This window comes from Homo sapiens, chromosome 9, assembly GCF_000001405.40.
Source record: "Homo sapiens chromosome 9, GRCh38.p14 Primary Assembly".
Taxonomy (NCBI): domain Eukaryota; kingdom Metazoa; phylum Chordata; class Mammalia; order Primates; family Hominidae; genus Homo; species Homo sapiens.
The window spans coordinates 99,252,744-99,269,456 of NC_000009.12; the positions used below are offsets into that span (position 1 = coordinate 99,252,744).

The following is a 16,713-nucleotide window of genomic DNA, read 5'->3' on the forward strand; positions in this document are numbered from 1 at the left end:
GAGGTCAGGAGATCAAGACCATCCTGGCTGATACGGTGAAACCCCATCTCTACTAAAAATACAAAAAATTAGCCGGGCGTAGTGATGGGCGCCTGTAGTCCCAGCTACTCAGGAGGCTGAGGCAGGAGAATGGTGTGAACCCAGGAGGCGGAGCTTGCAGTGAGCCAAGATTGCACCACTGCACTCCAGCTTGGGAGACAGAGCGAGACTCTGTCTCAAAAAACAAACAAACAAAACAAAACAAACAAACAAAAAAAGAAATACCTGAGACTGGGTAATTTATAAGAAAAAAGGTTTAATGGGCTAATGGTTCTGTAGGCTGTACAGGAAGCATGGCAGCATCTGCTTCTGGGGGGCCTCAGGGAGCTTTTACTCATGGAGGAAGGCAAAGTGGGAGTAAGCATCTTACATGGCAGGAGCAGGACTGAGAGAGAGAGGAGGGAGGTGCTGCACGCTTTCAAACAACCAAATCTTGTGAGAACTCTATCACGAGAACAGCACCATGAGCATGGTGCTAATTAACCATTCATGTAGCATCCACCTCCATGACCCAATCACCTCCCACCAGGCCCCACCTCCAACACTGGGGATTATCATTTGACATGAGATTTGGGTGGTGACACAGATCCAAACCATATCACCTGTCCTCTGGACTCTCTGTGGTCTCTGTGTGTGTGCTTGTGTGTCTGTTTGTGTCTCTGTATGTGTCTGTGTGTATATGCTTGCTTGTCTAATTACTTAAATGAGTGTAGTAATTAATGTCTATAACCTCTTGCCTTTCTTAATGTCAGGGGCATACTAACAGAGTTACAGGTCTAACTCCTCCATTTCACAGAGGAGGGGCGTACCAACAGAGTTGTAGGTCTAACTCCTTTTACAGGAGGGGCAAAGCAACAGGAGAATAGGTCTAACTTCTTGTTAGGAGTTAAGCCTATAACTCTATTCGTACGCTCCTCACATTAAGAAAGGCAAACTGAGGCCCACATAGGGACCTGGGAGTGCCCAAGGTCACCTGTTTCTAAGTCACAGAGCTGGGATTTCCCACATTTACTTGATTCAGAGACTTTCCAGAGGCCCTCACCCCCTCCTCCTGCCTGGATGCACATTCGAGCAGCCACCTTGCCTCCCTGCAGTTGGTGAAAACCACAGGGTGGGCCTGCAGGGGAGACAAGGCCCCATCGGCTTTGGGGCTCACCCAAACAGATGGCCCCGTGTGGGGAGAATGACACGGCAGAAAGGCACTTCACGCCCAAGGCCCCACCAACGCACCTGCTTTTGGTTTCAGTCTTTCTCTCTCAGCAGAATCAAAGTTTCCAGGGGAATCCCTCTTGCCTTCAGTGGATCGCCCCTCGAGGCAAGTAGCTTGAGTCACTCACCGCAGCACTGGGATGGTGGCCACAGGGCTGGTTGGCTGGGCCGTCTGGAAGGCGGTTTCCCTCTTCACGTCTGTCTAGAGGTGGTATCGTGCTCTGTGTGTCTCCTCGTGCCACCCACCCTCCCCATTCTCCTCCTAGTTGGATTGTTCTAAGCCACAGCTGTGACCATGCCATTCCCCTAGAGCCCACAGAGTGGCATCCAAACTTCCTAGCAGGGTATTCAGGGAACTTTTCCAGCCCACTGTGGCCACGCTGTGTGTCTTACACAATGGGGATGCCTTTGTTGTTTCCAGAGAACACTAGTCACTTTTGTATCTCTGTGCTTTTGCATAAGCTGTTTCTCTTGTCTAGATTTTTCTTCCCAATCTGGACTGCTTGGAACACTCTCTCCTCATTCTTTTCTTTAAAAAAGTATTTATTTAAAAAAATTGTGGTAAAATTAACGTAACATCAAATTTAACATTTGAATCATTTTTGAGTGTTCAGTCCAGTGGCGTTAAGTACATTCAGATCGCTGTGCAACCTTCACCACTATCCATCCACAGAACTTATCTTTCAAAACTACAGCTCCGTACCCCCTAAGCAATAACCCCCTAGTCCTCCATCCCTCCCCACCCCATGGCAACTACCATTCTACTTTCTGTCTCTATGAATTTGACTACCTTAAGTTACTTGTATGAGTGGAATCTTACAGTATTTATCTTTTTGTAACTTTTTCACTTAGCAAGTCTTAGAAGTTCATCCATGCTGTTGCATGTCAGAACTTCCTTCCTTTTTTAAAGCTTAATAACATTCCATTGAATGTAAATACCACATTTTGTTTATGTATCCATCCATTGATGGACACTCTGGTTGATTCCATCTCTGTTGGCTATTGTGACTTAATTTGTGGCCTAACATATGGTCTATCCTGGAGAATGTCCCATGTGTGCATAAGAAGAATGTGTATTCTGTTGTTGAGTGGAGTGGTCTGCGTATGTCTGTTAGATCTAGTTGTTTTCTTGGGTTGTTCAAGCCCTTTAGTTCCTCACCTGTTTTCTGTCTGGTTGTTCTATCCATTACTGAGAGTGGGATATTGAAGTTTCTGACTGTTATTGTATTATTTCTCCCTTCCATTGTGTCCATTTTGGCTCATGCATTTCAACAGTCTATTATTAGGTTTGTAAATGTTCCTCTTCATTCTTATAGACTCTCTTTGAATGCTGCCTCCTTTGATGCCCCCATCCTTGCCTCCTCCAGCCCTAGTCACTCTCCTCTGTGCTTTCACTGTAACTTGTACACACCTCTGTGTACCACATTCTGCTTTACTGAATAATTTACTGGTTGTCTTTCCAGTGAGTCTCAGAGGACACAGAATTTTGTCTTATATATGCTTGCACCTCTAGAATCTGGCACAGTTTTTGGCTCACAGTAAGTGTCCAGTGAACATTTGTTGAATAGACCTTTGTTATGGAATGCAATTGTGTTACTCATGTTCTTCCTGGGGTAAAAATAATTACAGTTGGAAATCCTCAGCATATCCTTGCCATAAGGATAAGGTAAAAGTGCTTATGGCCTCCAAGGTGCTTGTTCTTCTCCCTCATTTGATCCTTGTCACAACCCTATGAGGAGGTTGGGCAGGGGCTTGCAGATTCATTTTACAGACAAGAAAACTGAGGCTCAGAGAGGCAAGGTATCTTGATAAAGATGAAGATGGTAAGAGGCAGAGCTGGGACTTGAGCCAAGGCTAGTCTGGCTCCTGACCAGAACTCTTTTCTCTGTACCCGCTGCCCTTGTAAGCTCTGTTTGTGACTACCATGGCTGAGATCATGATCTCTGTACATGGGTAAGGTTGAAACTGGGACAAGTGGGAGCTGAGGTCTTTGCACTCTTTTCTTTTGCAGAATTTCAGGTTTGCCTTTGGAGGTGCTATAAGGAGTTCCAAGTGAATATGTGAGAAACACATCACTCTATCCATTGTAGGATGACGAACACTGAGTAACTTGCTCAATATGGCACAGGTAGGAGTTGGGGCTCCAGTCTGAGCTTCCTGGCCCTGAGCATAATGTACTCATCATTTGTTCTGACGTATCCTGGGCTGTCTTGGGATACTTCTGCCCAAGAAGGAGCTTTCCTTATTTTGAATTAAAATCTGCCCGTCGTGTCCACCCTGCCCCCTCCTACCTCTGTCCTCTGGAGCCCCACAGGGTGAATCTGCCCTCTCCACTCCTAACAACCCTCCAGGGATGTGGTGATATTGACAGCATTCCCCTGAGTTTCTTCTCAGGCTGAATGACCCCAGTGCCTTCAAGCTTCTCAGCTGCTTTTCCAGGGACTTGAAGTCCAGGACCCTCCCTATTGGGCCACCTCTTCCAGATGTACTCCCATTTGTCCATCAGCTGAGGCTGAGTGACAGGGAGGCACACACCTCACAGGGTGTTGCTGGGTTGGCAGGCAGAAAGACTGGAGGGGCTCTGATTGTGGCTTCTTTGAATAGATGCGCAACTGGCTGTCAGGAGGAGAGTGGAGGGGCAGGAGGAGGAGGAGAAGGAGGAGGAGTCAGCAGTGAGATGGAACAGAAATTGAGGGGCAGGGTTACCGTGGGCCTGCTTCTCTGGGAGGCTCCTGTTCAGATCAATCCACCTGGCCCTGTGCTGGTCACGGAGTGAGCCACTTGTAGGGAGAGTGTTGGACATTTACAGACCGTTCCCCTTATGTGTTTGGACATGGTGTTTTGCAGAGTCCATATTCTGGCCCTCTAGACTTTGGTTACCTGGAATTCTGTTTATAGCCCTTTTACCTCCTGCTCCAAGGATCTTCTAGAAATGGCCAGCTTTGCCAGCCCCTTGGTTGGTTTTGACAGAGCCAAGGGAAAACAAGAACAAGGAATGGCTAGCGAGGCTCCAGTAGGGCTTTTGGGTTTATTTTCACATAAGCTGATGATAGTAATTGCACTACCTTATAGGATTTTTGAAAGTAAAAAGGTGATGCATAAGTGCTTTGTGTAATGTGGCTCTGTAAAGGGCAGCTGCCCTTGGCCAGGTGCAGGGGCTCATTCCTGTAATCCCAGCACTTTGGGAGGCCAAGCCAGGCAGATCACTTAAGGTCAGGAGTTTGAGACCAACCTGGCCAACATGGTGAAAACCCACATTTATATTGCAAAAATACACACACACACAAAAATTAGCTGGGTGTGGTGGTGCACGCCTGTAATCCCAGCTACTTGGGAGGCTGAGGCATGAGAATAACTTGAACCAGGGAGGTGGAGGTTGCACTGAGTTTGCACCACTGCCCTCCAGCCTGGGTGATGGAACGAGACTCTGTCTCAAAAAAAAAAAAAAAAAAAAAAAAAAAGGCAACTGCTCTTATTTTTCATCCTGCTAGGGGCACCTGGTGGCTCCTAGAGATGTTCTCCTCATGGGACTTTGGGCTTCTGAGTGAGGTGTATCACTCTACGCTTTGAAAGCATTTTGTGGGTTAAGAACTGGATCAGACAGCGGGACTGGATTTCAGCCCTGCTCTAAGTTTTTGTGTGACCTTGGGCAAGCGCTTTCCTCTCTCGGTGCCTCCATTTTCTCTCCTGTGCCATGAGGAGTGTGGGTGAGAAGATCTTTGGGGTTCTTCGGCCCCTGAAGCTGGGGGATCTGGGTCATGGCAGGGTGTTACTTTCTGACGCTTTGACTCTTTCTGTGGGGAAGAGCATCTCCCACAACTTCGCCTGGTGCCAAGTTGGTCTGCTGCTTTTCTAGACAGGCCTCACTAGCCAGCACCTGCTGGAAGTGGGTCTGGAACTGGGAGTTCCAAGGCCAAGACTGCCTGTTCCCCTTTGCCTGAGGACAGGAGCTGGCACTGCTGCCTCCATGCTACATGCCCTGATGACACCCCCAGGAAAGGGACGCTGCCTGGATTGCTCTCAGGTTCTCTCCCTGCCTTCCCCAGGCAGCCTGAGCCCTGCCCTTAAGTCATGGGGAGAGTTCAGCATGTCCTCCTATGGCACGTGGCAAGACGGCAGTAAAACCCAAGCCCTCCTGGAAGGCAGGTGATCCTCACCAACTAGCCAGGCCTGACTCAAAGCCTCGCCTGCCAGCCCTCAAACCAGCTGTCCTCTGAGTTACTACACAGAAATCATTCTGCGAAGAATGGCTCAGGCAGTGGGAAGGGTCCCCTTACCAGCCCAAGCAGTGAGCATGTCCCTGGCTCTGGGGCCAAGGAGAGGAATGCAATATCAGCCTGGCACCAAAATGGCCTGAAAGAACAGCTGACTCTCAGTGGGGAAAGCTGAGACGAGGTCCTAAGTTGAAGGCTGGCCATCAGCCTCAGGACGGGGATTGCTGATGGTCTGACCCAGCGCCAGGGAGAGAGCTGGCTCAGACTTCTGAGGCCTAGCCCCTAATCCCACCCTTCACCAGACTGTGTGTGACCTTCACTCAGCTCCTGTCCCTTCCCTGAGCCTTGGCTTCCCCATCTGGGCTGAATGTGATGGTGTTTAGGGAACAAATTTTATGGTGTCATTACTTAAAATGTGGGAGCTCTATTTCTTCAGCCTTTAATAGAAGTGTTACTGTGAGGGGTACGTGTATTTCATGTAACTATCTGCTGGATTCCACGTCTTCCCTCTTCACCACAGTGCCCCTTCCTCACCGAATCCTAAGCTGAGCTAGTACCTACACCCTCGTTTTCTAGAAGGAAAATTACCTTCATTCTGGATTTTAGGAAATGATATGCTGGACTTTTCAGACTATAGTTGAAAGAGGTTTAGATTAACCAAGGAGATCTTATTTCTTGTTTCAGTTCTACCAGTGGAGTCTTGAGCTCTTGCCCCTCCTTGACTCAGTTTCCCTCAGAAGTATGAGCTGTTTGAGCCAGGTGATCTTGAAACTTCCTCCCAGTTTTGATTCAGGGTTTCTAGTTTTCCCTTGGAAATTTAACTCTGCCACCTCCCCCTGCGCCCCACCCCCAGCCTGTGTCTCACAAATGGGTTAAATGGGAACAATTGAGAAGTGAAACAACTTTGCTATAGACCAGCTCGGAAGGATAATGAAATTCTCAACTTCTGATATGGAAAACTGTTAGAAAAATGCAGCTCCTGCTCCACTTGTGAAAAATAAAAAAGAAAAATGGTGTTTAATGTCATCTGTCACCCACAGTGGTGAATTTTACAAGTGGTCATAAGCACATTCCCCTCCCCCAACACGCAGCAGGGGAGGAGGAGGTGTTGGGTAAGCAGGAGCTTTTGGAAAGTGCGTGTCCCCAAACGAAAGCCAGATATCGGGGCCAGGCCTTGCTGGGGTTACCTTCCCGGTGCAGCCATGATTTATTTCCCGCAGGTCTGGGGACCGTAAGAGGGGATTCCAGAAGCTTCATGTGAGCAGTGAGGACCCAGTATCTTGGGGCTGCCTGCCAGTAAGGCGACCTCGCTCAGTGCCTGTCGACACCGTCTGCTGATTGGGAGCTGGCCGCGGCCGCCCAGGCCCTCGTGGCCTCTGGGTCATGTGAGAGACTTGGCAGGAGCCGGTGCTCACTGAATCCGGTATTCGGGTGGAATCTGTGCCACGGAGCTGTCAGCGTGACGGTGTCAGCAGGTTCACCTGCCTGTGCCAGAGGAAGGGCCACACGCCAGGCAGCCTTCTGGGCCATCCTGTCATCCTGCTCTGCAGCTGACAGAGACACCCACAGTCGCATCACTCAGCCGTTTTGCTGACAGCCCGGATGTGCCTTTGAACAGCCTGCATTTAGGGTGCTGCGGGAGGAACCCTGCACTCCTGCTGCTGATGAGCTGGGCTCTGCACAGCGAGCAGGAAAGAAGGAGGAAGAGCTTTCTGGATGTCAAATCTCACGGGAAGATCCACAGAAAATTTGAGGAGTAAAAAGTAAACCAGTCAGCCGAGACTAGATCAAAGATTCCTCTGTGCCTGACTGCAGACCTGTGGTGACTGAAGAATGCTATCATTCCACAGCAAAAATGGAAAAACACAGCCAGGAGAATCAATCTCATAAACCTAATGTCACTTGAGGAAATGTTCTTTATTTTTAGATAAGGAATATTTTTGCAACTTTTTAATGTTGATTCTTTCTCTCTAGAAAACAATGGTGATGTTAGATGGTAGTTGGTTTTTGAACAGTACCCACTTGACAACCCTATGTACATCCTGTGTAGTTGAAAAAAAGTTTTACTGATTCATAAATTCCAAAAATCTAGGAACCATTGGACTCTCAGAGGACTCATGGAGAGTGACAGGAGAAAGGGCAGAAGGGCAAGGTTAGATGGTGGAAGGCCTTGCTCTAGAAGCTCTGTGATAGCAGGGAACCACACTATGGTAGCCCTGGGTTCTAGCACATGGGTTGGTAAACTTTTTCTACAAAGGGCCTGGTAGTAAATATTTGAGACTTTTGGACTGCACTGCCTTTGTGACAACTATTTTTGCCCTCTTGGCATGAAAACCTCCATAGACAATGATATGTAAATAAATATGTAAATGAAAAAGTGTAACTGAATTCCAATTAAACATTATTTATGTATGTATTTATTTTTGAGGCAGGGTCTCACACTGTCACCCAGGCAGGAGTGCAGTGCTGCCATCACGGCTCATTGCAGCCTCAGCCTCCTGGGCTCAAGTGCTCCTCCTGACTCATTTTCTAATTTTTTTATTTTTAGAGATGAGGTCTCACGATATTGCCCAGGCTGGTCTTGAACTCCTGGGCTCAAGTGATCCTCCCACCTCAGCCTCCTGAAATGCTGGGATTACAGGCATGAGCCACCAGGACTGGCAATAAAACTTTATTTATAAAAACAGGTGGTGGGCCTGATTCGGCCTAGGGGTTGTTGTTGGTTGACACCAGTCTAGCGCAACATCTAGTATCTAGTAGGTGTTCAGTAAGTATTTATTGAATTGATATGAATTGTTTCTAGCAGGCAAAGAGGAGACATTGGAGGTGTGTGAGATAGGATTTTAGAAAGATCGCTGTGGTAGACTGTGTAAGATGGATGGAGGAGGCATGAAACAGAGCCAAGGTGCTGGGTAAGGAGTTGTTACAATAGTCCAGGCTTGGGTGGTGAGGGCTCAGCCTGGAGCAGGGCAGGAGAGAAGAAGTGAAGGTGGGGAAGGGGCTGAGCCTATGTGATAGAGATGCATTTAAAGGAAAAAGGAGAAGCCACTCTGGCTGGAGTTGAAGCCCCATTCCTCAGGCTTTGTTTTCCATGCACCAAACCGTGCTTGAAGAACTCAGAGCCCTATTCTGTGTTAAAAAGACAGGCTCTTTCAAACCAGAATTCTGGCTTTCAAGACTGTTTTTGCCATGGATTTCAATAACTCACAAGTTGATTCTTTGCTTCCTATTTACATTTCAGCTGTGCCAGAGGCACAGAGGCAAGTCCTGAATGTCTTAGCCTCCTGATTTTGTTTTAGTAGGACAAGGACTGTGTGTTTAAAAAAATATGAGAATAAAAGTGTACTTCATACTTAAAAAAATATTTTCCTGGCTGGGCGCGGTGGCTCATGCCTGTAATCCCAGCACTTTGGGAGGCCACGGCAGGCAGATCACAAGGTCAGGAGTTCGAGACCAGCCTGGCCAATATGGTGAAACCGCATCTCTACTAAAAAAAAAAAAAAAAAAAATACAAAAATTAGCTGGGCGTGGTGGCGGGCGCCTGTAGTCCCAGCTACTCTGGAGGCTGAGGCAGGAGAATTGCTTGAACCCAGGAGGCAGAGGTTGCAGTGAGCCGAGATCGCACCACTGCACTCCAGCCTGGGTGACAGTACGAGACTCCATCTCAAAAAATAAATAAATAAATAAAAAATTTCCTGCCATATTTAGTTCTAATAAGAGGCATGAAGGCTTAGAAAGGCTGCTGCTCTTGGCAAAGGCACGATGAGTTGGTTTTGGACATCTGCAGTGATGGGAGGATGTTCAATTGGGATGTCCAGTAGCATCAGAATTACCACCCAAGTTCACGTGAGCAATGAGTCTGGCAGGGGAGCCTCTGGAGTGAGCTTGGAGAGAGAGGAACTCTGTAACAGTGAGAAGAGCCAGAGAAGCTGATGTTTAACCTTTGAGAAATGCCAGTGATTATGGGCAGAAGACAGAAGTCAAGGCAGTGGAGCAGCCACAGAAATGGGCAGTGCATCAAGATTGGGACATGTAACTGATACCAAGGAAAGAGACATTCTCCAGGGGAGGGACTTGGTTAGAAGCATCAAGCCCTATAGTTTCTTTCTTTGGTTCACTAATTCTAATTCCTTCAGCAAATGTTTAGAACTTCCTTCTCTGAGTCTGGCCATATTTCAGGAGATAGAGATATAAAATCAAACACAGGCCGGGCACAGTGGCTCACACCTATAATCCCAGCACTTTGAGAGGCCAAGGCAGGTGGATCACCTGAGGTCGGGAGTTCAAGACCAGTCTGGCCAACATGGTGAAATCTCGTCTCCACTAAAAATACAAAAATTAGCTGGGCGTATTGGTGCATGCCTGTAATCCCAGCTACTTGGGAGGCTGAGGCAAGAGAATCGCTTGAACCCGGGAGGTGGAGGTTGCAGTGAGCCAAAATCATCACGCCACTGTACTCCAGTCTGGGTGACAGAGCGAGACTCCATCTCAAAAAAAAGAAAAGTTCGGGCGTGGTGGCTCACACCTGTAATCCCAGCACTTTGGGAGGCTGAGGCGGGTGGATCATGAGGTTAGGAGTTCGAGATCAGCCTGGCCAATATGGTGAAACCCCATCTCTAGTAAAAATACAAAAATTAGCTGGGCATGGTGCCACATGCCTGTAGTCCCAGCTACTCGGGAGGCTGAGGCAGAAGAATTGCTTGAACCTGGGAGGCGGAGGTTGCAGTGAGCCGAGATTGCACCACTGCACTCCAGGCTGGGCGACAGAGCGAGACTCCATCTCAAAACAAAACAAAACACAAAAACACAGCCTCTGCCTTAGAAGCACTTAATCAAGTGAGAAAAAGCAATGCAAATGCAGCTGCGGTTCATTGTAAAGCCTCTCACAACAGTCTGACTACAGTGTGGCCCTTCGCTCTCCCGTCATCAGGAGGAAGCTGGAGGGAGATGCAGTTCTGTGCACCACAAAGTTGTTCAGAGACGTTTTGGAGGTACCAAGTTTCCCATCATCAAGATTGTTCAAGGTTTGCTAGATGACCGTGTGATGGAAATATTAAAAAGGGGATATAAGCCTCAGTTATGACCTTTCTTCCAATCCTGAGACTGAACCACAAATATTCTGCTTCTACTTCCCTTTCTCTAGGTAGACTCTGACAGCCATGATCATGAATTCTGCTTGAAGGGTGTGGTCCTAGGAGTGGAAGAATGTTGGGAATAGTCCCGTGCAGTGGGAAGGACACTGAGGGCACAGGCGGAGTCTTGTGTTCTAGTTGCAGCTCTGCTGTTGACCTGTGGTGAGACCCTGGAGAAATCTTTCCCCTCTCTGGGTCTTAATGTTTCCTTCTGCACCGTGGGAGTGAGACTAAGTGTTCTCTGTGGTCTATTCCAGTGCTTCTCATTGCTGCCTCTGGGGAAGGACCATTTTTGGGGTTATATCTTTATTGTGATATAATTCACATACCATACAATTCACCTATTTAAAATGTACAATTAAATGGTTTTTAGTATATTCACAGAATTGTACAACCATCACCATGCTCAATTATAGAACATTTTCATCATCCCCAAAAGAAACCCTTTAACATCAACACCTTTTTCCATCAACACCTTCACCATCCCCAAAAGAAACCCTTTTCCATCAACACCTAATCCCGTTGTCTCCCTGCTGGCCCTAGGATACTTTCTGTCTCTATAGATTTCCCTATTCTGGACCTTTCATATAAATGGAATCATACAGTATGCATTTTAGGTAACTGTCTTCTTTCATTTGGAACAGTTCCAAGGTTCATCCATGGTAGCATGTATTGATACTTCACTCCCTCCTATTACTGAATGCTGAGTAATATTTTATTGTATAGATATAACACATTTCATTTATCCATTTGTCAGTTGATGGACAGTAGTTTGTTTCTACATTTTGGCTATTATGAGTGAAACTGCTATAAGCATTGGTGTATCGGTCTTTTATGTGGAGGTATGTTTTCAATTCTCTTGGTAATATACCTAGGAGTGCAACTACTGGATGATTAATTACTTCTCTGATCTTACATCCTGCCCCACCCCCTCCACACTCCCTGTGCTCCAGTCACAGGGGGCGCCACCTACTTGTACTTCCAATTCTTCAGCCCATGCTTTTGGAACTCTGCAGTTTTGCCCACACTACTTTTTCCCCTGAGATGTTATTCCCTTCCATCATTTGGGGTGCAAGTCTTTTGTGTTACTAAAGGCCCAGCTTAGATGTCATTTTCTCTGCAAAACCTTCCTCCAGTGCTTCCTCTTGTGAAAGCCATACAATCCCATGTGCCTCTTTCACAACACTAGGCATTTTCTACCTTGGATTGCAGTTATTTTCTACTCAGGTCTTATTGCCTCTTCTAGACTATAACCTTCTTAGCTCTATCTGCTTTTTAGATTTACTTTTTGTTTTTGAGATGGAGTTTCACTCTTGTTGCCCAGGCCAGAGTGCAGTGGCACGATCTCGGCTCACTGCAACCTCTGCCTCCTGGGTTCAAGCGATTCTCCTGCCTCAGCCTCCAGAGTAGCTGGGATTACAGGCGCCTGCAACCACACCCGGCTAATTTTTTGTATTTTTAGTAGAGACAGGGTTTCACCATGTTGGCCAGGCTGGTCTGGAACTCCTGACCTCAGGTGATCCGCCCGCCTCAGCCTCCCAAAGTGCTGGGATTACAGGCATGAGCCACCGTGCCCGGCTCTAGATTTACTTTTATATTCCAAGTGCTTTGCACATAGCAGACCCTGTATAAATGTTTGAATAGTGAGCATTTTGTGTGCTTTGTTATTGAATTATTTTAAGACAGTAGGTACCTCTACGCTCTAATGGCTCTCAGGGTTGTGACAGCCGTGCACGTCTTCTCAGAATGAAAGCACATTTTCTGGGCAGCATTTGAGGGTAAGCTGAGCTGCCTTCTCTTCCTTTAGCCCATTTCCCTGGTCTCTAGCCTGACACGAGCATCTCAGACTCTTCCTCATGCTTCCAGCTAAAATCTAACAAATTACTCTGAAATACAAGGTTATGTGTTATGGATCCTGACTTCTTCGAGCATTGCTTATGACTGAAATTTATAAACAGACAGCCGTCTTCCTGGATGACCTAACAAATCATATTCCCCTAGAATATGAGCTCAATGAGATGTTTAGAGCTCAATTAGATGTTTAAAGCATCAGATAGTGCCATGGACTAGGTGACTTCCTGCCCTATGCAAGGTAGGAGGTGGCCTTGACAAATGGTCATCTGGTCTTAGACTGAACATTTCCAATAACAAATAAATACCTTCCTCCCAAGGCCCCTTGATGAGTGCGCAAGGTTTCCTTTACATTGGACCGAAATCTTCCATCCTGCAGCTCTCAGCCATCGTGCCCAGCTTGGCACTTGGGGCACCTCAGTCCACCTCTACTCCCTCGTTCCAGCACAGCCCTTCAAGTTTTGAAAATAGGACTGGGGCTTCTGTGTTTGTTCTTATGCAACCAGAAAGGCCCCAGTTCTCAACACTTAATAAGAAATAGTAAAAATTATAAATAAAAAATCAATAATCATACTTCTGAGTAAAAAAATAAAACCAAAATAGTACAATAAAAAAGTGACAATATTAAAATTATGGTCTTTAATATCTCATTATCAAGCATTTAGCATGTGCTGGGCATTGTGCCAAGCCCTTAATGTGAATTCACTCTTTCCACTCTCACAACAACTGTACGAGGTAAGGGCTGTCATCTTTCCCATTTGACTGATAAGGAAATGGACACTCGGAAAGAATAAGTAACTTGATGAAAGTTACATAGCTACTGGTGGAGCTACTGAGTGCAGGTGTGTCTTCTTCTTGAGTTCAAGGTCTCAATTCTATGCACACAGCCTCACTAGTGGTCCCTGCCATGTGAATGTGGCCCTTCCCAGGGAGCTGGATGGAGGTGGCTGGCCTTGCATTTCCATGGTTCAGTGGGAGGCACATGGGAACGAGAGTCAGGAGTCATGGGTTCCAATGTGGACACTCCTAGCCTAGGATATAAATCTGCACAAAGCCCCCTTCTTGCTCAAATCTCAGTAATGTAATTCTTAAAATGACTAGGCTAAATTGTCAAGTTGCTCTCGGCTGTGATTTGGACATTCCAGTCTTCCCTGAATGCGCTACACCCTTTCACAACTCTGGGCCTTTGAGCTTCCAGTCTTATTGCCTGGAAGTTTCTTCCATCTTCTACTACTGTACTCATCTTTAATAATGACTCATCTTTGAAGAGCTGATTTGAATAGCACATTCTCTATGTAACCTTCCCTGAACTCCAGGTAAGGTCAGCCTTGCCCCTCCGTGTTTCCTGCACACTTGCACAGGTCTCTGCTCTAGAGTCTGTGATTGTCTCCCGAGATGGACCGTGAACTTCTCAAGGGCAGAGACTTGTTTGTTCACCACAGTGACCTTAGCACGGTGCTAGCCACGTGGGTCCTTGTTTTTTCAAGGACTCTTGGACTGCCAGTTGTTATGACGCCGTTCAGCCTCACGCCTGCTAGATGGCGCTGCAGCCCACCAGAATGGAGCCCGCTGGTCTGCAAAACCACAGGTGCCTCCAGCGGGGGCTTCAGACCGCACTGGGAGGTATTTGGCCAGGAGCCCTGGAAAAGCAAAAGTTTTCGTTTTCTCCTTATCGTCTCAGTTTTGACTGCTGCTACTGAACAATGTATCTTTCGATTCCTTGAGGCCTAGGGAGGTGGAGGTCTCTCCCTTCTTTCCTCTGCCTCCTAGCAGGAGAATTTAGGCTACTCCTTTCCTGTTTGGACTGTTCCAGGTTGATTTATTGTCCAATGTTCTACCTGCTGATTTTTGTCACGTGTCACCCTCACCTACTCCTCTGAAAAAAAGAGGAAAGATACAATTCAGCACTTCATGGCAATATTGCTGACCAAGTGAACTCCTGCCATCTCTATTCCCTTTTACTATTGGCTAACATCTGCTTTGTTTCATTTTTCTGCATCTTCTTTCACTCTTTTCAGCATCTCACAGCAGCCCACACGTCTTTCTTCTAGCAGAAGGAAAGCATTATGGTATAGTGGTTAAGGGCACTGGGGCTGCTCTGACTGGATTTGAATCTTGTCTTTGCTACTTATTGGTTCTAGGACTTTGGGCAAATTTCTTAACCTCTCGGTGACTCAGTTTCCTCATTTGTAAAAGGGAAATAATAATAGTACCTACGTAAAAGCGTTGTCACGAAGATTCAATAAGTTCTTGGTGCTTTACCTTAAAAAGGGTCAATAAACACTAAGTACTACAAATGCTTATTATAGAACATACAATTGGAATTCATTAATTTGTGTTCAATGTACCCCTTATGTTAAGTTGTGAGCCCTAAGAGGTTCACGTTGGGTCTGTCTTGTTCATTGTTGTATCCTTAGCCCCCACAAGAGTGCCGGGAGTATGATAGAGGCTTCGTTAAAATTTTTGGAAGAACCAAAGTCTGTTCTGTTTCTCCTGTATAATAAAAATGAAACAAAATTATGATATATATTGTTTACCCATTTAAATGGTCTAGGATTTAAAATTAATAATACCTAATGTTGCCTGGGGCATAAAATGGATGCTTTCATTTATCGCTGGTCTATTATAAAATGGTAGAATTTTTTTGGAAGGCAATTCGACAATATGTGGAAAGATCCTGAAAAAAGTGACTCAGTAAATCAACTGTTAATCAATCGTTCTTTCTTTCTTTCTTTCTTTCTTTTTTTTGAGACAGAATCTTGCTCTATAGCCCAGGCTGGAGGGCAATGGCCAGATCTTGGCTCACTGCAACTCCATCTCCCAGGTTCTAGTGATTCTCCCACCTCAGCCTCCCGAGTATCTGGGATTACAGGCACCTGCCATCATGCCCAGCTAATTTTTGTATTTTTAATACAGACAGGGTTTCACCATGTTGGCCAGGCTGGTCTCGAACTCTTGATCTCAGGTGATCCACCCGCCTCGGCCTCCCAAAGTGCTGGGATTACAGGTGTGAGCCACTGCGCCCGGCAATTTGTTTTTATCTGAGTGCTCAGACATGCATAAAATTTTAAGTACAAGGGTGTTAATCACAGCAGTATTTATTCTATTAAAAATCACCAAGAATTGAAGAGAAACACTGAAATACTTTAATAAATGATGACATGCCCATGTGATGGACTATTATGCAGCCATTAAGTGATCTCTTCTGTGGAATAATTAATGACATGGGAAAACATTCCTGATACAAGCTTAAGTGACAAAATTAACAAAACTGGGTATACAGAATGGGCACATTGCTTAACTTCTCTAGTCTCAATTTCCTTATCTGTAAAATTAAGGTAATAATACTGCCTATCTCATGGCATTGTTACAAGGTTTAAAAAGTATTTTAAAAGGTTTAAATAATTTTATTAGTTCTGGGCATGTGAATAAGATCTCAACACTTATTAGCTACTGTCATAAAATACATATCAGGAAAACAAGACTGGAAGGAAATATAGCAGAGTGTTAATGGTGGTTAATCTCAGACGGTGGGATTACAGGGGTTTTAATTTTTCTTTTTATAAAGCAAAGTATGTGTAAAGCAGCTAATATAGTGCTAGACAATAGTGGGTGCTCAATAAATGTTAGCTAGCATGATTCTATTTTTCCTTTCTCTCTCCCTTTTTTTTGACACAAGGTCTCGCTTTGTCACCCAGGCTGGAGTGCAGTGGTGCAGTCATGGCTCACTGCAGCCTTAACTTCCTAGGCTCAAATTATCTTTTTTCCTTAGCCTTCTGAGTAGTTGGGATGGTAGGCATGTGCCACCATGCCTGGTTACTTTTTAATTTTTATTTTCTGTAGAGACAGGGTATCTCTATGTTTTCCAGGCTGGTCTCAAACTCCTGGGCTGAAGTGATCCTCCTGCCTTGGCCTCCCAAAGTGCTGGGATTACAGGTGTGAGCCACCATGCCTGGCTTCTCTCTTTAATTTTTAATAATGAACATATATATGTTTTAAAGCTATTTAATATAGCAATTATGTTAGTTTTTTGAATTTTTTAACTAATTAAAACCCCCCAACATAACATGTAGTCTATGCCAGGCTTCGTGACAACCATTCAAGGCTTATCTGGCAAGGTAGACTGACTGTGGGCCTTTCCCCTTCAGCTGGGAGCCCAGTATAACCAATTCAGTTCTGTTTGCATCATCTTCTTTTTAAGATTCCCCCAAATATTCCTTCCCTATGGCGAATCCTAAGTCATTTTTTAAAATAACATGTTCCTTTTA

General features: G+C 45.8%; 4 annotated features.

Moving 5' to 3' along the window:
• Positions 886–1,445: an enhancer, noted in NCBI's record as "active region_28703". NCBI's record gives its function as "activates an Ori minimal core promoter by ATAC-STARR-seq in GM12878 lymphoblastoid cells {active_cell/tissue: GM12878}" and the evidence as "EXISTENCE:reporter gene assay evidence [ECO:0000049][PMID:35858748]".
• Positions 1,576–1,635: an enhancer, noted in NCBI's record as "active region_28704". NCBI's record gives its function as "activates an Ori minimal core promoter by ATAC-STARR-seq in GM12878 lymphoblastoid cells {active_cell/tissue: GM12878}" and the evidence as "EXISTENCE:reporter gene assay evidence [ECO:0000049][PMID:35858748]".
• Positions 7,145–7,194: an enhancer, noted in NCBI's record as "active region_28705". NCBI's record gives its function as "activates an Ori minimal core promoter by ATAC-STARR-seq in GM12878 lymphoblastoid cells {active_cell/tissue: GM12878}" and the evidence as "EXISTENCE:reporter gene assay evidence [ECO:0000049][PMID:35858748]".
• Positions 10,573–10,712: an enhancer, noted in NCBI's record as "active region_28706". NCBI's record gives its function as "activates an Ori minimal core promoter by ATAC-STARR-seq in GM12878 lymphoblastoid cells {active_cell/tissue: GM12878}" and the evidence as "EXISTENCE:reporter gene assay evidence [ECO:0000049][PMID:35858748]".